The sequence below is a fragment of the Homo sapiens genome, chromosome 18, assembly GCF_000001405.40.
Source record: "Homo sapiens chromosome 18, GRCh38.p14 Primary Assembly".
Classification (NCBI taxonomy): domain Eukaryota; kingdom Metazoa; phylum Chordata; class Mammalia; order Primates; family Hominidae; genus Homo; species Homo sapiens.
In genome coordinates, this window is record NC_000018.10 from 45,662,931 (window position 1) to 45,686,453 (window position 23,523).

The 23,523-nt window shown below is 45.6% G+C and overlaps 1 protein-coding gene and 1 long non-coding RNA gene across 7 annotated transcripts in view; one reads left to right on the forward strand and one right to left on the reverse strand.

Moving 5' to 3' along the window:
• SLC14A2 (solute carrier family 14 member 2) overlaps positions 1-20,758 on the forward strand; it is a 515,726-nt gene extending 494,968 nt beyond the window's left edge. For all 6 annotated transcript variants that reach the window (NM_001371319.1, XM_024451270.2, XM_017026016.3 and 3 more), the window contains 10 exons: positions 855-977; positions 3,207-3,289; positions 4,005-4,164; positions 4,903-5,092; positions 5,419-5,547; positions 6,376-6,568; positions 9,970-10,117; positions 10,753-10,887; positions 16,045-16,094; positions 19,389-20,758. In NM_001371319.1, coding sequence (NP_001358248.1) covers positions 855-977; positions 3,207-3,289; positions 4,005-4,164; positions 4,903-5,092; positions 5,419-5,547; positions 6,376-6,568; positions 9,970-10,117; positions 10,753-10,887; positions 16,045-16,094; positions 19,389-19,589 — 1,412 coding nt within the window. In that variant the 3' untranslated portion in view covers positions 19,590-20,758. The remainder of the gene's footprint in view (positions 1-854; positions 978-3,206; positions 3,290-4,004; positions 4,165-4,902; positions 5,093-5,418; positions 5,548-6,375; positions 6,569-9,969; positions 10,118-10,752; positions 10,888-16,044; positions 16,095-19,388) is intronic.
• LOC105372093 (uncharacterized) overlaps positions 1-23,523 on the reverse strand; it is a 176,501-nt gene that overhangs the window by 56,595 nt on the left and 96,383 nt on the right. The gene's annotated exons all lie outside the window — the stretch shown is intronic.

Consider the following 23,523-nt stretch of genomic DNA (forward strand, 5'->3'; position numbering starts at 1 on the left):
GATAATTCAATGCTGTCAGTTCTTGATCCACACATTGAGAGACCCTATCCCAAGTGATAAGAGTGCTCTGCTCTCCCAATAGTGTGAAAACTGAACATAATAAGGTACAGCAGAGTGCTTCTTGTAGCTGATTACAGACTCAGCACTCCTAGCTCCCCATAAATTGGTATTGGTCAGGCTTTAATAAGCACAGAATTCACCCAGTGGCTCTTGTTAAAATACAGATTCTGATTCCATCAGTCTTGGTTAAGGCCTGAGATTCTGCATTTCTAACAAGCTCCCAGGCAGATGATGCTGATGCTACTGGTCCAGGGACCACAGGGACCACACGTTGAGTAGCAAGAGCTGATGTCAGTTCTCAGCCCAAGCTGCATATTGGAGCCATCTTTTAAATACCATGGGCATTCAAAACTTTAATTTTTTTAAACTGGTCTGAGGTGGAGCTCAGGCATTTTTTTAAAGCACCTGGGTGATTCTAACATGCAGGCAGTTTTGGAACTCCCTGCCACAGATGAAGTCCAAGACGCTGGCTGCCACCTGCTCATGCCAGTGCAAGTTGCAGCTAAATGGGTCTTAGAGTGCTTCCTTGCACACTAAGAAATAAGGCAAACTGCTCATCCATTTCTTGACAGACTATAACTTGGGTTACTGTGGGGAGAGGAAGTAGAAGTTTTAATGGGAGAAATAGAGAAGCTAAGTGTTTTATGCAGAGACTGATGCAATGACTACTCCAGCTTCAGGCTTCACTGCTCTCTCCTTTCCAGCATCTGTGTGATTTTTCCCAGCTCTCTGCTTGGCTCTCTCAGGTGCGGACTAGGTGGGACACTGACCTGTCTTGTTTTGCCCCTGGCTAGGAGGCGGTGGGGAGCATCCACCCACAGCAGGCCCAAAGGTGGAGGAGGGCTCGGAGGCTGTGCTCTCCAAGCACAGGAGTGTATTTCACATCGAGTGGTCATCCATTCGGAGGAGGAGCAAAGGTGTGCATGTCCTCCCCCTCACGCTTGGATCCCTGCCTTCCTAGTCTCTAATAAAACAGGGACAATGGCAATACCTACTTCACAGGGTGGTGGGGAGACCCGCTGGAGTCAGACTTGACCTCTCACACCTGACGTCTGACCAAGGCCACAGTTCCCCGAATGCGTCTGGATGCCCCCTGGGTCTCGGAGAGGCTGAAGCTGGGACAGGCAGTGAGATTCTGGGGTCTCAACCTGGCTGCACATTGGAATCACCTGCATCCCATCCCAGTGACTAGTTTAATTCATCTGCAGAGCAGCCTGGGTGGGCATCAGGAGCTTCTAAAGCTCTCCAGGAGATTCTAATTTGCCAGCAAATCAAAAACCACTGGTCTAGGAGGCTAGAGATGAACAGTTCCCATCTATGGCAATGGTGGGGAGGCCAAGGGCACAGGTAGAGACCCATGGTGGGGAAAGTGCTGCCAAAGGCCAGGAAGAGGGTATCCAAGGGCCGCTAAAGCTGAACAAGTGGAGGCCAGAAATTTGGACGTGGAAGCTGAGAACATGTGGCAGCAAACAGGGAGGAGTCTGGGGAGGTTTCCTCAACCAGCTGCAAGGTTGGAGCAGCCTCATGAAGATCCAGGACACAGGGACCATCTAATCCTGCCTCCAATCCCCAGAGAGGGGGCAGCATTGCCCAGAGTCACACAGCTGACTAGGGCCACTGTTGGGAATAAAAGTGACTCCCAAGTTAGTGCAACATCACATGCTCCCCAGAAGATGCCTGAATGACCTTCTTCCTCCAGCTCCCCCAAGTCTCATCATTTCATACCACAAGTCAGTTAGCCCAGAGAAATGGACTTTGAGTGAATATGGGAAAATACACGAGGTGGAGAGGGGATTGCCGAGGACATTGCACATCTCAAGGGCCCCTGTAGCTCAGGAGTTTGTCTTTGATAGAGGTTCCCCAGCAGAGTGTGGAAGAGACCACGGTTTGCCTCAAAGGCTTAATAAATTCCTCCTAACATCGTCTCAGGATAGGGGCTGTGGTTGGGGAGAGCATAGTAGAGAGCCCTGCAGCACTGGCAGGCAGAGAGGAGCTTCAGACAGAAACAGCGGGTCAGTGGGGATATCACACACAGGCCTCCAATTTCAAGGGATCCCTTCTGCTTCCTACTCTTCCTTTCAAAGCTTTCAAAATGAATTTGTTTGTCCTGAATGGTGTCACCTCCCAAACACACTGGTATCTGCAGTCCCTGTCCCTTCAGAAGTGGGAACACAGTGCCTTCGATGCATCCCTTCTAGTGTTTTGACACCCTGACGACTCATGAGTGCAGAACGGGGGAACAGGCAATTCAGTCTGAAAACACAGGGTAGTCAGAGCCCAGCCTGCTATTCTCACACTTGACCACAGGAGGGAACCAAAGCATCAAGAAGGAAACTTCCAGGGGCCTGAACATCTTTCAGGATGCATAAAACCCTACTGAAATTGGTGGTCTCTAAAAGTAAATTACCTGTAATAATAAAAATGTTTAGATCCACATTGCAAGAGTTTTCTACAATTACAAAGGCTTGCCAAAATCTGCTTCAAGAGATTACATGGATGTCTCTTGTCCTAATCCCACCAGCCATTGCTACTACAATACCTTAAAAAAACAAAAACAAAAACAAACAGAACAGCCTGAGGTCATCCAGGTGAGGAGAGTCATGGCCAAATTCAAACACAGATTATGCATGGCTCATGGCTCAGGCAGCTTAATACTTTATGAACAGGAAGTGAAGGGCTTCAACAACAACCAAGTTTCTTTTTTTTTTTTTTTTTTTTTTTTTTTTGTTCACCTTCAAGTTCTCCATGTGGAACAGGAGAAAGAACCCTGGATTCCGGGATCAAGCACAAGTCACTGTCTCTCCAGGCTGCTGTTTCCTCATCTAAAAAATTATCAAGGTTGAGCTAAATGAGGGCTTCTTAATTAAAAGTTAGTGGAATCTCTGAGCTCCCTAAATTCCTTGTAAAATGCCCTGTTTATATGAAGATGTACACTTTTTCCCCAAAGCGAGGGCCCAGATGGATCCATGACCAGTAAAAGAACAAAAGAGCCTTCGAGCTGCAAGGCCCCATGATTCTGTGCTTCCTCAGTAGGAACAGGAAATACTGCATAATCTTAACACCTCTTGAGCCTTGCAGGACATTAGCTTCTGAGGTGCCAGAGTAGAGGTGTCCTAACTGATGGTGCTCTTTCCTTCTAACTCCAGTGTTTGGAAAAGGCGAACACCAGGAAAGACAAAACAAAGACCCATTTCCCTATCGATACCGGAAGCCCACAGTCGAGCTGCTTGTGAGTACTGAGTGTCCTGAATCAGGGACAGCGCCCTACAGTCACAGAGCCCACAGCAGATGAGGGAGCTGAGAGCTGTAAACAAGGTTCTCCGATTTAGGCAAACTTTTCTTGCATTCGTATTTTCTGAAATGTAATTACCTGGGACAAAAATGTCTCTTTCACAGTTTACTTTGTAACTTTTCATATTCCTTGTATTTGAATTATTATCAGGCTTCCTTTAAACCCAGTATTCAAGCATTTAGGAAATAAGCTGGTGCCTGTTTTCAAAAACAGAATCTTCACATGTTCAATTTCATACCCTTATGTTTATGAACAGTTATATCTTAAAGACTAGACATGCCAGGGAGAAAGCCATTTCTTCTGGAAAGAGTATTAATGTTAAAAAAAAAAAAAGACTAAAAATCTGTGGTTAATCTCAGTTCTACTGTTTGACCTTGACCTTTGAAAATGAGAACCTCCACTTGCCAGAGTCCTCCTCCACAGAACGAAAGTAAAGATGTTATCTTACTGTGCCTCACGGTAGTTAACCTATTAGATGAGGTCATGTGTCAAACAAAAGACAGTCTAATCTACAGAAACAGGGAGGTTAAACAGCAATTTAATGAAATACCAAATGACAATCTTATTTGGTCCCTGAGTGACCACAAACATGAATTCTCAGTGTAAGAACCACCGAATGTGGGAGACTCTTGCCTATCTCTGTCCTGGACAGGATCTGGACACCATGGAGGAGAGCTCTGAGATAAAAGTGGAAACAAACATTTCCAAGACATCCTGGATTCGGAGTTCCATGGCTGCCAGTGGGAAAAGGGTCAGCAAAGCCCTCAGCTACATCACAGGAGAGATGAAGGAGTGTGGAGAGGGACTTAAAGGTAAAATTCTATGAGAACAACACTGACCCTGACCCTAAAAACTCACCTCCACCCATCCCCAGGAAACCCATTGCCATGGGGGTTCCCTATAGACTAGACTTAGACTAGACTGCACTCTGTTACTGTGGTCTTTCCTGGAAGCTGGGAGTTTTGCTGTTAAAACAGACATACAGCCTCTTGAACTATAAATAGCAATACATGCAAGAGTGTGAGCTCATGAGCTCTCATTTCTGAACAGAACACTTCTGCTATCTCAAATATCCCATCTGAATATTGCAGACAGGTGTTTTTCGCATTGGGATTCTAGAGCCAGCATTCTAGAAAAACGCCATCTGGATGGTTCATGGGAGAACTGTGTCTACCATGCCAATAGGTTCTCTTTAGCAATCTTTCCAGAGCTCAGCCCATGGGTTTAATGCCCTCTATGCAGCAAGAACATGTTCTTGAAAATTCATGGTACCACCACAGGGGTCAGAGGCAGCTCAGGGCACCTAATCCCCCCTGCCAGAAAAACAACCTGGAGGTCACATCTGGCTGGTGATGGGTCTCAAGAGTTTTCTTGGCAGTCAGATGCTCTCTTGAGTTCCTTGTTTACCATCTTTGGTGGCAGGTGACAGCAGGTGGCTGGCTTCCTGCAAACCCACTTCGGATATCCAGATTCCCTCACACCCTCCATCTGCCCACCCAGGGCTGCCCACACTGAGCACTTGCCTACTTCCTGCCCCGGTTCCATTTCAGACAAGTCCCCAGTGTTCCAGTTCTTTGACTGGGTCCTCCGAGGCACATCTCAAGTGATGTTTGTGAACAACCCCCTCAGCGGCATCCTCATCATCCTCGGCCTCTTCATCCAGAACCCCTGGTGGGCGATCTCAGGCTGCCTGGGTACCATCATGTCCACCTTGACAGCCCTCATCCTGAGTCAGGACAAGTAAGTCCCAGAGGCTCAGGGTCCAAACATGTAGCCAAGAAGTCACTCCCCATGGGGACCATTCTTCCTCTTCCCAGCTGAGAAATCCTCAAAATAAGGACACTGACAACTAAAAATGACTGTTCCCTGGTTATTTTGTCATAGCAACATATTTCTAGAGAAATATGAAGGATTCATAGGGTTGTCTTCCTTCCCCACTCCCAGAAGGGTGGTCTATTTGAAGGCGTGTGTAGTCAGGCCCCAGATAAAAAGAATCTGACTCAATAGGAAAATGTAAAGGGCCCTGGGGAAGCCCCTGCTCCACCTGACCCTCCCTCTCCTGCCAGGTCGGCCATCGCTGCAGGATTTCACGGCTACAATGGGGTGCTGGTGGGGCTGCTGATGGCCGTGTTCTCAGACAAAGGTGACTACTACTGGTGGCTGTTGCTACCCGTCATCATCATGTCCATGTCTTGGTAAGTTTGCTTTTGAAGGGTTGTGGGTTCATATCAATGGCCACCAACCTTTTCATCCCAATCCCATGACCGTCTGTCTAAACGTGATATTAAAGTGGCATGTATTTAGCTTGCACATCAGAAATGTCCACTGGACTAATAACTAAGTTTATACCATGGTAGCCCCATGCTAGGTCTATACACAGTATCCCATTAGCGACCACCCTTTATTATTCTTTTAAGATCTAAATGGTTTTTGGTCTCACCCTGCCAGAGTGCAGAGAAAGAAACTGAGGCCCACATTGGTTAAGAGCTGCACTATAGGGTCCTGTCAGTTTCTGGAAATCTTTTCAACCCTCCCCTACCCCGGCTTTTCTAAATCCTTGGGACCCCTGAGCAGACCAAGACCACCTCCCAGGGTAGGCTGAAGGCCCAGCCATGGGGAAGCCCTCAGTGCCTGCTCTACCCCATGTTGAGAAAACACAGGGCACCCTGGCCACAAAGCCCATGCACACAGCCACTCAAAAAAACATTTGTTGAATGAATGTGATTCCCTCCCCTCGGCCTCCCCAACCTGATGCCTGGGGATGGAGCTATAGGATTCCTGAAGGAAGTTCTGAGACTGCCTGCCTTATATCTTCTTCTGAAGTTGAGTCTGGGTGCCCCACCCTGTCACTGTGCAGGGAGGAAGAGGCCCAGGGAAAGACCTGCTCAGGGCCAGTCAGGCTCCAGAGAATACCCAGCAGGCTGCTTTTCTCTAGGAAGGCACAGGGAGCCCCCACTGCAGCACAGTCTAGTGTTATGACCAGGCGGCTTCCTGACCAGCATCTCTCATGCTTCTGCCATCAGCCCCATCCTCTCCAGTGCCCTGGGTACCATCTTCAGCAAGTGGGACCTCCCAGTCTTCACACTGCCCTTCAATATCACTGTGACTTTGTACCTGGCAGCCACGGGCCACTACAACCTTTTCTTCCCCACAACGCTGCTGCAGCCTGCATCCGCCATGCCCAACATCACCTGGTCAGAGGTCCAAGTGCCCTTGGTACGTATCATGGAAGGAGGAAGGGCAGGTCTGTCCACACTGGATGTTACTGGCATTTGCATATTTTGCACATCAGAAACATCCACAAGTAATAATTTTTAACAATTACACAGTACCAAGCATTCTACATATATATCTCATGAGCTGCCATCCTTTTCTACTTCTGAGAGCAAAAAGGGCTAGTTTTGGTCTCACTCTATGATAGCACAGAGAAGGAAACTGCGGCCACGTTAAGAGACCTGCCTTAGGTCTTACAGCCAATTAGGGAGGAGCAAAGTCAAGACTAGAACTTCAGCCTCCTGACTTCCAGCCTGGGCTCTTTGTGGATGTTTAAAAAGTCTTTTTGAGGCTTACAGCTTGCGTTGTGCATTTTCTTTCATTCAATCACACGGAATCATTCAAGTCGTACACATCATGCTACCATCTATTGGCTTAAGAAGTCGTTGTTCCAACCTCCAGAGTTTATTCCCTTCACTCACCAAAGCTGGGCCTGGTGGCACATGCCTATAGTCCCAGCTACTCAGAAGGCTGAGGTGGGAGGATCGCTTGAGCCCAGGAGTTTGAGGCTGCAGTGCGCTGTGATTGTGTCACTGCACTCCATGAGACTCTATCTCCAAAACAAAAACAAAAACCCCAAAATCAAATCGTTTTCTTGCTAAATACTGGTGCTTCTCAGTGTAAACTCAGGGCTTTTTCTACTACACCATGCTGTTGGTTTTAAAGCACAGGTGTTCTTTCATTAAGAAACATATAACAGAGCTTTTAAAGTTTTTTTTAATAAGTATTCTGTATATAATCCTGACCTCTGGAAGTCAGCCAAGGTGATTAATAAGAAGCTGCACTCACAGTATTAAGTCAGCCTAGAGAAATGTGCCTATTAGCCAGCCACCTTATCTAACAAGGCACGTTTTCTCCAAGGCCCTCCTACTTTCCGTTACACGAAACGGCTCCACAGTCTGGCGCTCACTCTGAGACTTCGTTATTGGCAACTCATCATCTGACCACAAAATCACTTGGGCTTGTTGAAGGAACTTTCTCTAAAATAATGATGCCTCGTTTCTCTTAGCTTTCCACAGTAAGCAACAGCGTGGTGTAGTAGAAAGAGCCCTGAATTTACACTGAGAAGCACCAGTATTTAGCAAGAAAACTATTCGATTTTGGGGTTTCTGTTTTTGTTTCAGAGATAGAGTCTCATTCTGTCACCCCGGCTGGAGTGCAGTGACGCAATCACAGCTCACTGCAGCCTCAAACTCCTGTGTTCAAGGGATCCTCCCACCTCAGCCTTCTGAGTAGCTGGGACTACAGTCATGTGCCACCAGGCCCAGCTAATTCTTTATATTTTTTTGTAGAGATCGCTCTTGTCATTGTTGCCCAGGCTGGTCTCAAACCTCTGGCCTCAAGCGATCATGCCACCTCAGCCTCCCAAAGTGCTGGGATTACAGGCGTGGACCATTACACCTGGCTGAGAACTATTTGTGTTAGTCGGATCCTTGATCATTTTGTGTGTGTGAGGACCTTCTTGGACCAGAAACAAGAAAAGGTGCTGTGCTGGCAGTTCAGCTTCTTAAGCTGCCCGTTCTTAGTCTACCCAATTAATATCTTTTGGAGACAAACTTGCTCTAAGTGGCATGCTATGGGGAAATGATGTCAGAAAATGCAGATTTTAGATATTGCATTCTATATGTCACAGTTTCAGTTGAGAAGAAATTTTGAAATTTTATAGAAATGGAAAAAAATGAATAATCCTGTACAAACACTTGAGACCCACCACCACCACCACCACCACTCCACCAGTGTTCCAGGAAAGAAAAATTCAATTTTGTGGCATTATTCTTTAAGAAGTAACTTTCTGGCCAACTGAATGGATTATGACAATGACTCATATGTTTTGTCTTTTTGACCTTTAAAATTAGAGCCTTGAGTTTCTGATAAATAAGTGGTGAATTTCAGAGGGATTGTCTAAACTTCCCAGCAATGTTGAGTCCCCACGGCTTCCTCTGCTCTTGTGACCACTGAGAGCCCTCTGAAGGGTGCAACTGGCTGAGGACAAAACTGCCCATGCTGCTGCTTCTGTATGTGCAACTCTCTCTCGCCTGTCCCCTTTGCCCTGCATGGTGAGGCCAGAGCCCTCATTCTGTTCTCTGCCCTGGGTAACAGGAGACTAAGCCCAAAGCCTAACCCACTCAGCCTGTCTCCTGTACACACTCACTGTGGCGTGAGGGCCCCCGAGCTGCAGGATCTCCCTCCCCGGCCACGCGCAGAGGGAAGAGTTCTCTAGAGAAGAGCGTCCTTGCCTTAATCTATATACAGGGACTCGCCCCAGGACACTGCCTCTCCTCAGCTTCCTGCCCATGGGCCTTGGCTAGACCCTCCAAAACACAGTCCCTGTGGCTGGGGAAGCCCGCATTTCCAGGATCCTCTTCCCAAACTCTCGGACCTTTGTGCAGGTGCCCACAAGGCACCAGACTTTTTCAAGTGTTTTTCCATTCACAGACAGGCCCCACCAGCCCCAGAGATAGATGGAGCACGGAATCAAGCAGGGTGCCCTGGGGGTTTATTAATCAAAATAGCAGATGCTGGGCGATACTACCTTCTCCTGGCCGCTCCTGTAGATACTAGTCGAGTTCCTCCTCCAGACCTTACTAACAAAATCACACCCCAAACATGTTGTACTTGAAAACACACAGGGCCATTTTTTTGTCTAATATTTCACCTTCTCATCATCTTTTTAGCTTTAAAAAAAAATCATGGCCAGGCGTGGTGGCTCACGCCTGTAATCCCAGCACTTTGGGAGACCAAGGCAGGCGGATCACCTGAGGTCAGGAGTTCAAGACCAGCCTGATCAACATGGAAAAACCTCATCTCTACTAAAAATACAACATTAGCCAGGCATGGCGGCATATGCCTGTAATCCCAGCTACTCGGGAGGCTGAGGCAAGAGAATCTCTTGAACCCGGGAGGCGGAGGTTGCAGTGAGCCAAGATCACGCCATTGCACTCCAGCCTGGGCAACAAGAGCGAAACTCCATCTCAAAAAAAAAAAAAAAATTCACAAAGGGTTTTTAAACCCCAACTTTGATCAGACATATATTACTTTTCTAATCAATAGTACCCTACCTTGAAAGGTTTTCAGTTTCTCTTCCCTGAGGGATAAATGCCTCACGCTCATATTTCTAAATAAAGGAAACTCAACATCCTAATCCATCAGTGTTCTAAGAACTCAAGATTAAGATAATAAAGCTTTTGTTCCTGTTAAAGTTAACCTATTTGAATAGAAACAAAAATCCTGGACATCCATTGCAAAATGTTAGTGGGAAGGGTTCAGTGCCAAGTCTCTTGCAGCCAAGGTCAAGTTGTCTCTTTTGCCTCCATAATGAGCATGTAATCCTGTTATGCCTACAGCTTTTGAGAGCCATCCCCGTTGGAATTGGCCAAGTGTACGGCTGTGATAACCCCTGGACTGGAGGCATCTTCCTCATAGCTCTGTTCATATCCTCACCTCTCATTTGCTTGCATGCAGCAATTGGATCCACCATGGGGATGCTAGCAGGTCTGTGTCCTCACTTCCCTGGGCTGTGAGGGGGTTAGAGCCTGGGGCCAGCTCCAAATAAAATGGTGACTCTCATCTTCAACACTCCACCTGCTGATTCCTGTGAACTTTCCCTCCTTCTGTTGTACCCTGTTTCTCCGTTTTTGATCTAGCCCCTTTATCCTCCCCTGAGCCACAGCTGCCCTCAAGAAAGGCTTTGGTGTTAGTCATTCACACCTTAGTATAAATTTAAAGTTTGGGGGAAGTTTCTTCCAGGTATATTTACATGTTAAGTGATCTGCAATGACAGCAAGAAAGATTCGTTCTCCATTAGAGAATTAAGGTATCGATGAAGGAGGAGAGGTTCTCTTTCTTGGCAGGGGAAGGATATTCTCTGGACTGTTTAAATCAGACTTCTGTCCTTACTCAAAGAATCTCTTCAACCCATGCCAGCTTAACTGCTAGTATTCATGGGACTCTATGGCCATTTGTTTCCTTTAGATGTTTTTTCACAGAATAAAGCCAGAAGTCCTTTTTGTATAACTACCTAAGAAGATAACTGGCTCCGGGCTTTGAGGACTGTGGTAGGTTTCAGGGCCAGCAGATGGGCCCCATAAGACCCTAGACCCAACCCTGATGCCTGCCTTCTGTCACAGCACTCACTATTGCGACGCCCTTTGACTCCATCTACTTCGGCCTGTGTGGCTTCAACAGCACCCTCGCATGCATAGCGATAGGAGGCATGTTCTACGTCATCACCTGGCAGACGCACCTCCTCGCCATCGCCTGCGGTAGGTACTCCCCACAGAGGATTTGTTTCCTTTATAAAAGGCTTTTTACATAAAACTGTTTTTTTATGTTTTTTAATGGTTATTTAGTAATTAATAGATTAAACACTATTTTCACTGAATACTCAACGTTCAGTCACATGAAGACGGTGGTGGAGGTTTGATTGTTGTTCCTGGGCTGTCTCCTGTGATTGCTACTCTCCTGGCGGGGGTTGGAGCAAACTGGCTGAGCAACTCTTATGCAGGTTACTCGTTACATATGGAATTGGGTGATTTACGTCTTCTACAGCGATTCACCTTAAGCATTCAAACATTAACCACAGACCCTTCAAATGACTCCTCTTTGTTATATATTTGTTCAGAGTCCCAGGAAATTAGATCGACTGTAACAAGTTGGTAGATTTGTATGTCCTCATCCTTGAACATCCTTTATTTCTTGATGTTATATGACTGGAAACCAAACAAAACTCCTTTTGAGCAGAACATTTAAAACAGAAGTTCTATTTCAATACATCTGTAGACTCTGTGAACATTATCTATATAAACTTATTTTTAAAAATAAATTTATAATAAAAATTTTCCAAATATTCTTGCTCGGGAAGATGTTCTGGATCAGCTATGGCCACATATTTGTTTCCTTAAGATAATTTGTAGATATATTTTCTTTTGCATTTTATGACAGTGACTACGAACTCTAAACAAGATACGAAGGGTAAAGCTGCTGTCTTTTTCATTTGCTCTTCTTAAAATTACTTTTTGCTACACCAACCTAAGGCCAGCACACTGTAGTTACTTAAAAAAAAAAAAAGTAGCTGTCATATTGCCCAAATAAAAGGTAGCCATTCACCTAACACCCACCACAAAGTAGGCACTTTAAATACGTCATCTCTACCTTAACACTAATTCTCAAGGTTGGTATTACTATTCGTATTTTGCAAACGAGGAAAAGTTGTGTCAAAGAGCAAGACTAAGGTGAGACAAGGGAGACACGTGGGATGCAAAATTTAAGGAGGTGCTTACTCTCAGGGCCAAGCAGGTGATGACCCTGACATATCCCCATGACCCTGAGAGTGAAGGCCACTTGAAATTTTGCACCCCAGGTGCTTCACTCACCTCCCCAAGTCCCAGCCTTGACAAAGAGGTGAAGTGGCTCAACTGCGTGTAAAAGACAAGGCTGAGACATGAAGCTAGGTCTTCCTCCATCCGAACTCATTAAACTCCCCACCCCCTTTCCCAGCATGGCACCTCTCTCTATTCCAGAAGCCTCTGATAAATCAAGGTGCACTCACTGGTTTCAAGGAAACTGAGTCACATCATCTCCCAAAAGTGCCAATGAGCCTGACGATCTCAGGAAACATGAGAATACACTAAAGTGAATTTTAAGCCCCTGTAGGTGGATCCTTGAACTTTTAGACAGACTACACAGTAATAATATCTAACATTTATTGGTTTTCACCAAAATACTTTTCCAAATATTACTCCATTTTATCATTTTTAGAAGCTGAAAACTCCAGCTTTATTTTGTAGCCGTGGTGCCTGAGGCTAAGGGAGGTAAAAGGACTTGCCTGTGGGCAGAGGTAGAGTCAACCCTCCTTCTACAAGTTAAAGAAAGACCTGGAAGCATCCAGTGATGTACGTATAGACCAAAAATGGGAAAGCAGTCTATAACACATACAAGTGGAGTTTGGGGGGCGTTTTACTGTTGTTGTTGTTGTTTTGAGACAGGGTCTTACTCTGTTGCCCAGGCTGGAGTGCAGTGGCATGATCACGGCTCACTGCAGCCTCAACTTCCCAGGCTCAAGTGATCCTCCCACCTCAGCCTCCTGAGTAGGTGGGGCTGTAGGCATGCACCACCATGCCCAGCTAATTTCTATATATATATATATATATATATATTTTTTTTTTTTTTTTTTTTGGAGAGACAGGGCTGCACTATGTTTCCCAGGCTGGTCGTGGGCTCAAGTGATCTGCCCACTCAGCCTCACAAACAAATGTTTGTACAGGTTCAATGAAAAGAAGAAGTTGAGGCCATCTAGAAAACCTGGAACACGTAGTCAAGCTTACTTGTGCGTAGGGCCCATTGATAGGCAACCAGGAGGCAGTGAGAGCAGGAGGGAATGATAGCTCCTTCAGCAGACAGAACAGCCCCACTGGAATTAAATGTCACTGTGAATATTTTAATTTAAATTAACTTTAACTTCTTAATAGGCCAGCATTTTTACATGACCTGAAACTAGACCTATGCCTAAGTTCCTTCCTTCCATAAAAATGTCCCAATGGCAAAAATTCTAAATGCTCAGAGATCTTTAAAATCAGTCGTCATTTATATTATTAAATTGGTTTGGGCCTCATCCCATTAAAAATTAAAAGTCTGAATGCTAGAAATGAGAAGTCAAGGAGTCCTGAAGTTTTTAAAGATTCAGAGTCAAGACTGTGCCACTCTAGGCTCTCTTAGTGGCCCATGACTTCCACATAGGATCGGAGCAGGTGGCCCGGTGGGGAGGTGGCTGCGTCCAGACCGTGGAGCTATAACTTCTGTCCAGAGTCTCAGAGGACAAGGACATCTAGGATACCAGCTGGGAAAGGACATTACAGGATATCCCTGGCTACCAACTCCAAGTTCTACTTATTCACTAAGGGATATTCATGTTTAACAAACAAATCTTAAATGCCCAATTTATGTCAGATGTTACACGGGTGGTTTTCAACCAGGGGTAATTTTCCCCTTCCCCAGGAACATTTGGCAATGTCTGATGACATTTTTCTGTGTCATACCTGAGGCTGGGGGAAGTGCTACTGGCATCTAATGGGTAAAATCCAGAGACGCTGTTAAACACCCTACAATACACAGGACGGCACCCCCAGAATAAGGAATTGCCCCATCCAAAGTGTCCATGGAGCTGGAGCTGTGAAACCTTGGTACAGGTCATCTCATTTAATCTTCCCTCCAGCCCCATAAAGTGTGTGGATGATATTAATATCCCCATTTCACAGATGGAGAAATGAGGCTAAAGGAAGCTAAATACATTACTTGAAGTCAGGTCTGCCTGACTGTAAAAGGCTGTGCTCTTTGCAGGACACCACACTGTTTCCTGAAGCCAGTGCTTTTTCTACCAGTAAAAAAATCCAAGCCCAGAACAGTTAGGCCCTTTTCCAACATCATACAGTCAGTGATGGATAAGACAGGCCAGGTGGCCAGGCATCCTGTTGCAAAGGTTCCTTCCACCACTGCCTGCTCGGCACATCACCTGAGACAGACAGTTTTCCCTCCAGCCCAGGCAGGCCGCATGTCTCATTTCGTCTTCTTTCTTCTATCCTTCCTCCTCTCTCCCGACTCTGCAAGCCCTATAGCCACACAGGAGCCCACACGGGGTTTTCGGAGGGTTTTCCTGCTAGTAATAACACCAGATTTGATAAAATAGCAAATATCAGTGGGGGAAGAGGGAGACAGAATGAATCCTTTGGCTCTGGGTCCCAGGGAAGATGGATGGAGTTGGAGTCTTCCATTCTTCACAGACCAAGCCCAGAGTCCCACTCAGGCCATCTGGCTCCCCTCTATTCGGGGGCCTTGGTAGTGCTTGGTTTGCCTCTCTCTTTCCAACCTCAGATCTGAGAGGCTGATTAAGAGCCCACTCCCAGAGCCAGATGGCTGGAGCTCCGCCACTTGTTAGCCATGTAATCCTGGGCAAGTTGCTTGAACTCTCCATGCCTGATACTAACAGTGCCCAACTCCTACAGCTGTTGTCAGGATCAAATTAGATCATTTGTGAAAATGATGAGAATAATGCTGACACATAGGGAATGTCCAGTAAGTGCTGACCTCTATTATCTCTAGTTAAATGATGTATGTTAATTAATGAGGATTCAGCAAACACAAAGGACGGCATGGGCTCCTATTCGCTCTCAGAGAATAAGCTGCCTGGTGTGACCCATGAAACCCATTGACAGCCCCACATTCTACTTCATGTAACTCATTTAACTCATTCTCTTTTGTTTGTTTGTTTGTTGTTTGTTTTTTGAGATGAGGTCTTGCTCTGTCACCCAGGCTAGATCACAGTAAGTAGCATGATCATAGTTCATTGCAGCCTCAAACTTCCGGGCTCAAGCCATCCTCCTGCCTCAGCCTCCCAAGTAGCTGAGATTACAGGCACATGCCACCACACCCAGCTAATGTTTTTGGTTTCTGTAGAGATGGTATCTTGCTTTGTTGCCCAGACTGGTCTCAAACTCCTGGGCTCAAGTGATCCTCCCATCTCAGCCTCCCAAAGTGCTGGGATTACAGACGTGAGCCGCCACTCCCAGTCGTGTAACTCATTCTTTAATCTCATCTACTCTTCCACCTTGAATCTCCCCTCCAAAACAAAAGGGGCTTCTCCAACTGAAATATAGGCTGAACAGTCATATTATTTCACCTCTCTGAGCCTCAGTTTTCTCATGTGTGAAATGAAGACGATAATAGTGCTTACACTGTAGGAATGCTGAAAGCTATGGTAGTATTGCTACTAGCTGGGCACACAATAACACACTAATAAAGGTTAACTCTTGTTAATATAATCCTAAGGACAATTGGGATGCTCTCAGCGAGAAATGAAGGGTTTGGAAGCAAAGGCCAATTACACTAGTACATTTTAATAGCTTCTCCCCTGTTGCCAGCACTGGGCTCATTCCCAGTGGCCAGCCTCGTCATGCCTTCTGCAGAGCCTACACGACAAGGCACTGGGCATGTCTAGTCTTCCTCAAGCTTTCAGAACGCTGCTCTTCCCTAGAAACCCATATTATGTTAATAACTTGTGATGAAATATTCCAGTAGGGAGTTCTGGGATTCACTTGCCTTTGCCGTATAGTAAAATTTTCATTTATGGTTTATGCTGTTAAATGTTCCTTTACTGGAATGCAAGGTGGTGGGACCCAAGAGAACCATAACAGCTCAATTCTGGCCCTTTTTAACAAGTTCATCTGCTGTCTTTGCTGCACCAGCATTTGCATGGAATTTAACAATTTTAAAGCTGCCAAGCAATGGAAACATAACTCAAATTTTTAAAAAATCTTAGAGATAGCATTTGTGGCATAAAATTGATGGGAAGAGAATATGTAGAGCAATCTTGAGGTGCTATTAAATAGTTACTGGTCTATTTCTTTCTTTTTTTTTTTTTTTTCTAGCACTGTTTGCTGCCTACCTGGGTGCTGCCCTGGCTAACATGTTATCTGTGGTGAGTCAACACAGGCTCAGAACGTGCCTACAACATCCTTCCTGGTGTCCTCTTGGCTTCCCCAAACCTGCTGAAAACCTCTCTCCTCTAAGAACTCTTCCCCAGTTCATCTCCCTTATTTCAAGTCACACTACTCACTTCAGCACCTGCTAGGCAGAGGGAGCCAGGCCCCAAAAGTTTACATTTCAACTGTGGGCCAATCCATTCCTATCATCAGTAGGCCAGGAACTCCTTAGAGGAAATTTGAGGAGCATTATCTTGTAAATCAAATTCCTTTCTATCTTCCTCTATAACTATTTTTAAATCTTTATTATTTAATTTGTGTGTGCCTGCCTAGCTAGCTTGTGAGCCAGCATATATCTTTGCCCCACGGCAACTAACTAGCTCCCCTCCATAGAATAAGGGGAGTCAAACCCCAACCAGGCGAGACAGAAGCCAGAGCTGAGGCTTAAAGTCACGGGCCACAGTCTGGGAACCCCTTCCTCATCTGGGCTCCAGTGTAGGGTGATGTGTGAGGTCAGGAGGAGCCCATGCTGGCCCCCAACCCCAGTGCAGAGGGCTCAGGGCTCCACTTGCAGCTGGTGCCTCCCCTTGTCAGATAAGGGTAAAAGGGCACACTTTGCATGGACAACAAGAAGTCCAGGTGATCCTGCAGATAAGGAGGGAGTGGGCATTCTAGTAACACCTGCCTAGATCTCTCCCTCACCTTTAGTAAAAATGGGTGGCTTGGACTTAGCATAAGAAGGAATTTTTCTAAGCAGTAGAATTTGCCTTCCCTGATACTATCCCGTCTTCCCCAGTGAACTGAATCTCTTTTCTGGGCTTCATTGTATTTGTGCACACCTCGGCTAAATACTTGATGTCGTACAGTTTTGTGATGAGTCTAGTACTCATTGGTCTTCTTCTACCCTCAGCCAGTCCTCTCCCTTGGAACAGGGACCTCATCATATTATCTTTATCTCCAGTATCTGTTATAGTCTTCAACACATAGTAGGTGCTCAAGCAATACTGGATGAATGAAGCCCTAAGATAGTGAGCCTCTATGACAGGGTGTTTTAGAACCGGGGTTGAATAGCGAAGCATCAGAAACTCTGAGGGGGAATAAGGGCATGAAGTATTGGCTCTGAGGCTCCCTTCAGGCTTTATCAGCCTCTAACTATACCCATCCATTCACCCAGTCATTCATCCACTAAATCCGTGCCATGTGCCTTCCTTGAACAAGTCACTGAAAGAAATGCAAAACAGGAAGCTGCGATTCCTGATCATGGATGTTTACAGTGATGACTGGCCTTTCTCTCTGTTTTCAGAGAAGTTACAGATTAGACTATTCAGTTTAGACATCTTTCAAAACAAAATCAAGTTTACCTAGTTTGCCTACTGTGTTTAAGACATTGTGTTGGCCACTCTCCGGAATATAAAAAAGTACAGGCTATTAACTCACTTTAAAGGAATTTCCCACAATGTCATCGAGGAACAGGAAATAAAAATGTTGAATGACATTTATGGGACCATCCAAGCTCTCCTCAGAAGAGCACATAGGAGCTGTACTCTTTTGTTTTCTAAGTGGCACATGTATATACAACCTCATGTCTTCAACAATGCTGCCATCTGTTTGATGATAATAACCACATATTTAGGATCATTTGTATTGAGTACTTGGTATACACTAGAGGCACCAACTCTCTAAGTAGGCTTTATTATTCCTATTTCGCTATTGAGGTCTCAGAAAGATTAAATGGCCATAGCAAGGTGATCAGAACTGAGATTCGGTTCTTGGACTGTGGAAATCCAAACCAACATCCTTTCCAATGTAGGACTCCAAGGGTGCTTCCCAAACACTTTGTGCAGTCTTAGTGGGGCTTTGGAAGACTCGCTGAATGGAACTCATCACTCATGGGTGCCCCTTACAGACCCAGCTCTGGTAGCAGGCTGTCTTTGTTGTTCCCCAAGACGCACCCAACGGTGCCATCTCTGGACACACACATGACTGGCATTGTTACTCCCATGGTAGTATCTGAGGTTTTTTTTTTTTTTTTTTTTTTTTTTTTTTTTTTTTTGAGACGGAGTCTCGCTCTGTCGCCCAGGCTGGAGTGCAGTGGCGGGATCTCGGCTCATTGCAAGCTCCACCTCCCGGGTTCACGCCATTCTCCTGCCTCAGCCTCCCAAGTAGCTGGGACTACAGGCGCCCGCCACTACGCCCGGCTAATTTTTTGTATTTTTAGTAGAGACGGGGTTTCACCGTTTTTAGCCGGGATGGTCTCGATCTCCTGACCTCGTGATCCGCCCGCCTCGGCCTCCCAAAGTGCTGGGATTACAGGCGTGAGCCACCGCGCCCGGCCCTGAGGTTTTTACTGCTTATAATAAGATGATGTTTTGGCAAGAGGGGGCATATTTGATGTGCCTCGTAACTGAAGTTGCAGGCTCATTGTTAGCAAACTATCCATTCAAGCTATCTCAAATGAAGAGTGGAGAAGAGTACTAAAAAGCCTTAGAGCATCTCAAGAAATAAAAACAGGTCAACATCAAGAGAAAAAGAGCTGGAGATTGGAGAGCCCTTGAGAAGAAAGGCAGCTGTGCTCTGTCTCCAGCTCCATAGGACAATGATGACACATCTTTGCCTCTCTCCATCTCTCTGCTCACTTTCCCTGTGTCTCTCTGACGGGTTACTTCTACTGCACACATCCCCCAATGGCCACCCATCCCTGGTTTGTTCCCCAGTTTTTTCAGTTCCAGAACCCTGTAGACACAGTCTCTGTGCCTCTTAGTTCAACTATTCAAGAGAGGGATTCTGTTGGCAGCGGGCACTTTCACCTGCCTATAGGAAGCAGTGTTTGAGTTGGGTGCCTATCTCTAGTCCAATCAGCTATGACCAAACAGAAAACATCTTGAGCTACCAAATGGCTGCCAAAGACACTTCTCCAACAGGGGCTGATGGGAGAAGACACAGGATGACCATAGTTCCTAGAGTTAGAAGTCTAACCTGGCCAGAAACATAGCTTCTGACAAAACACAGCCTCTACAAAAGGCATATTATGTTCTGATGACTTCTACATAAGGGCATATTAGCCCAACTATTAGGGTTCCCAGTGGCTGCATTTTGAAAACTGTGCATTCACCTGTTGCAATGCAGATGAATAGCACTGGCATGATTTTATTTATATTGGTCATCAATGAAGTATCAATGCCCTCAAAGCAGTCCCTCATGTCCCCAGGGCTGTAGGTGATTGATAAGGGCTGATTAAAATGCACAGGCACCTGATGTGACCAAGGCTTATCTGTGTTCTTTCTCTCCAGTTTGGATTGCCGCCCTGCACTTGGCCCTTCTGTCTCTCAGCTCTCACCTTCCTGCTCCTGACGACCAATAACCCCGCCATCTACAAGCTCCCGCTCAGCAAAGTCACCTACCCAGAGGCCAACCGCATCTACTACCTGTCCCAGGAGAGAAACAGAAGGGCATCAATCATAACAAAGTATCAGGCCTACGATGTCTCCTAAGTTTCCCTGTCTAAAACACATCAGTGTAAATTCAGGCTTCAGCACGCCGTCCAGATCCCCAGGATAAGAGACCACTTAGCCTTCCCTTTGGTCTGTTCTGTGACTCTCTCCCCAAACACAAAGAAGCGTGTATGTAGTCACCATTCCAGAACCTCTCTTTTCTAAGATGCACAACACTTATCAAAGATATGTTTAGTTTAGACTTTATACCCTTAGCTTTCCCATAAGAGCTCCCTTTGTGGGGAACTTGCCCTCTTCTGCGAAATAAGCCTCATCCTTAAAGAGAAGTCACCGGCCGGGCACGGTGGCTCACGCCTGTAATCCCAGCACTTTGGGAGGCCGAGGCGGGTGGATCACGAGGTCAGGAGATCGAGACCATCCTGGCGAACATGGTGAGACCCCATCTCTACTAAAAATACAAAAAATTAGCCAGGCATGGTGGCGGGCACCTGTAGTCCCAGCTACTTGGGAGGCTGAGGCAGGAGAATGGCGTGAACCCGGGAGGTGGAGCTTGCAGTGAGCCAAGATCACGCCACTGCACTCCAGCCTGGGCAACGGAGTGAGACTCTGTCTCAAAAAAAAAAAAAAGGGGAAGTCACCAAGAAAGGGATAGAGGTCAGTGACATGGTCATCACACAACTCGGTCATTTAATATGGCAAAACACAATACCAAGAACTGTGCATTAGCCCGGAAGGCAAGAGGGTTGGTTCTGCCCCAGCTCTGCTGCTAATGAGCCCCTACCAGGTTGAGCAAGTCTTTCCCCACTCTCCACCTCCATTTCTTAATCAGTTTCATGACAGGGAAGGATTTGAAAGTCCTTTCCACCTCAGAAGTGTTGATTATTCTCTCTCTCCTATAATCTGATGAAATCAGCATGACAACAAGTAATTTAAGTAAAGGACAGAAGGGTTACCCAAGAAGAGGCAGGAAAATGTTAACGTTCTATAAAGTTTTATTCTTGAGTCATAGGAAAATGCTCTCCAGACGTGGGGTTAGGAACCTAAATTCACTGAAAATGCCAATGTGCTTTCCTTTACATTACAGAAATATTTCTGGAAGTGTCAGATGAAAACTGATCTTTATCAACACTCAAATCATATTATAAACAAATGTGTTTCCCTTTGTAATATTCATAATCATACTGTCATTAAACTGTTTAAGTTTGCAAGTCGGCATCAGGGTTTTCTTAAAACGGGGCTCACCTAGAGGTTCATACATTGCTCACTTGAGGGGTTTTCCATGGTCAAGCATGTGCCTGAAAAGAGACAAGGATGGGCTCAAAATCATCAGAACAGGGGTTGATTTGCTTATGGAGCGAATTACACAGAAATGACCTTGGACTTGGTTTTCTGTTTGAGTTGAAGCACAGATTGTTAATAACACATCTCACTATTTAGGGTAGAGTCTTTTAGCTTTGTGCCCCCAAATTACAAATCAAGCCAGTCTTGAGTGGCCAGTAACCCTTGTTCAGTCACTCTGGTTATAGTTTCAAGCTCCTAAGCCACAAACCTTCTTTGTGGAACTCCATGTGGCCTGACCTTCCCACGCCTTCTCCAGAGGGGAATGAACCTCTCATAGCACCATAGCAGTGCCTCCCACCACCCTCCAAGCACACATGCACTCCCAGTTTAGTGTCATGGGGATGAGGACATAAGAGGGAATGTGGGGAAGGAGAGGCGGGGACAGACCCTCTATAACCACAGCTTTAAGAATTACATTTAACCAAATCCATCATTTGGAAAAAGTTAATTTCTATGTTTGCCTTTTCTTGGTCTGCCCCCAAGATTCTGGCCATCTTTTAGCAGCCCAAGAGCACTGGGTGGCATATTTCTCTTCCACATCATATCTAGCCCATATGACTTCTCCAGAAAAATGCAGCACTTAAGGGTGGAAACAAATCCTCCACCTAGAAAAAGCAAACGAGTCACACTCCAGAGGCTACCTCTGAGTTTGCAATCACACCTTGAGGCCAAGAAGGTCTCAGGCTGTATTTTAATGACCGTGGAATTAGTGGTCTCTGAGGATTAAGCATCCAGGAATTTCACCAGAAGGCTGTTTATGCTCACAGCTCACTCAGTTGCCCCAGAACCTCCAAATGATGACATACAACTATTAAAGCACCAGTTTTCATGCATTTTCCACCAAAGTGTTATAATCTGGTTTTATTAAGAGCAGGAAACCCTTCACATGCATGCTGTTCTTGTTATTGACCACGAATAAAACCCTTCAGCTGTTCTAAGTATTTCAATATCCTCACCTATAAAGCAAGTTAAGTTGGCCCATGATACTAAGCAAAGTAGAAATAGATGGGGTAGAAGAATTTGACCTATGAAAATATACAAGGTCTACAGAATACCAAAGTAGCTAGTCTAGTCCAGCACTTCAATTAAGCACCAACAGTGGAGAGCTGCAGCCGGCTCCATCAGTTCCTGAGAGTCCACTGCACAAGTGAGCACATTTCTCCCCATGCCATTCAGTGACATCACATTGATAGCTTGAAACCGGCCATGGTGGGAGTATTTACATCACAGACATCAGCAAACTACAAATCTGGGCATGCACACAATACACCAACACATGTTTTACAAGCACACATACAAACAAACAAACAAAAAAGTATACAGGAATGTGAGAGGGAAAAGGGAGTGAGGTATAAAAATAAAAGGACAGGACCGGGCACGGTGACTCACACCTGTAATCCCAGCACTTTAGGAGGCCGAGGCGGGCAAATCACCAGAGGTCAGGAGTTCGAGACCAGCCTGACCAACATGGAGAAACCCCATCTCTAGTAAAAATACAAGATTAGCTGGGCATGGTGGTGCATGCCTGTAATCCCAGCTACTCGGGAGGCTGAGGCAGGAGAATCGCTTGAACTCAGGAGGGAGAGTTGTGGTGAGCCGAGATCGCACCATTGCACTCCAGCCTGGGCAACAACAGTGAAACTCTGTCTCAAAAAAATAAATAAATAAAAGGACATACACACCTATATATTCCAGACAGGGGCCTCGTATGGGCCCATGAAGATATGCTGGGCACCAAGGCACATGATTAACTCAATTGTTGGGAAAATTTTTTAAATGGGTGGAGCAGAATGTGTGCTACATATATGTACACAAACATGCACACACACATGCACAGTTGTTTTTTTTTTTCCTTCATCGAACTAGCCCATTGATGGCACATAATAGCCCTGAGAAATAGTAACTGAGTAATTGACTGAAACACCCTCCTACCCCTCTGTCTCAGTGGAGATGCTTTTCTATTCTCTCTACAGAATAAGTTCCGTAGAGAGAATAGACTCTATTGGCTGGAATTTGAAAACTGTTTCACGCACACAACGTCCTTATAACAGATACACACGCTCTCAACTAGGCCAACTGACTTGCCTCCAGAACTTATTGCCTGTAGCCTCCTTCCAAAACACATGTGTAGGGTTCAGGGAAAGAAATTTTCAGAGTAGTGCACGGCATCTAGTCCTCAGCATTCCATCATTTTATGAGCAATAGCTTCAAGCCTCTTTTGCAAACGGTCTTCTGCAACCATCCTTTCCTTACAGAGCCTTTGTTATTCAGACATTTAAACTATGTAATGGTCTCAGGTGAGGGGCAGGTAGATAGATGGGAGATTGGTAGTTCTCAAACTCAAGCATGTATCAGAATCACCTAGAGACCTTATTTAATGCAGGTTAGTGGGCCCTATTCCAAGACTGTCAATCAGTAGACCTGAGGCACGGCCTGAGAATTTCCTTTTCTAACAAGTTCCCCACAGATGTTGATGCTGTGGGTATAGGGGTCCCATACTTTGAGACCCACGAGATAGACTTAGAAATAGGATGCTGCCTCCACTGATTTATTTCCCTTTCATTGTATACTGTAATGCACTGGTTGTGCATCTAAGAATCATCCGCAAGGCTTATTAAAACACAAATCCCTG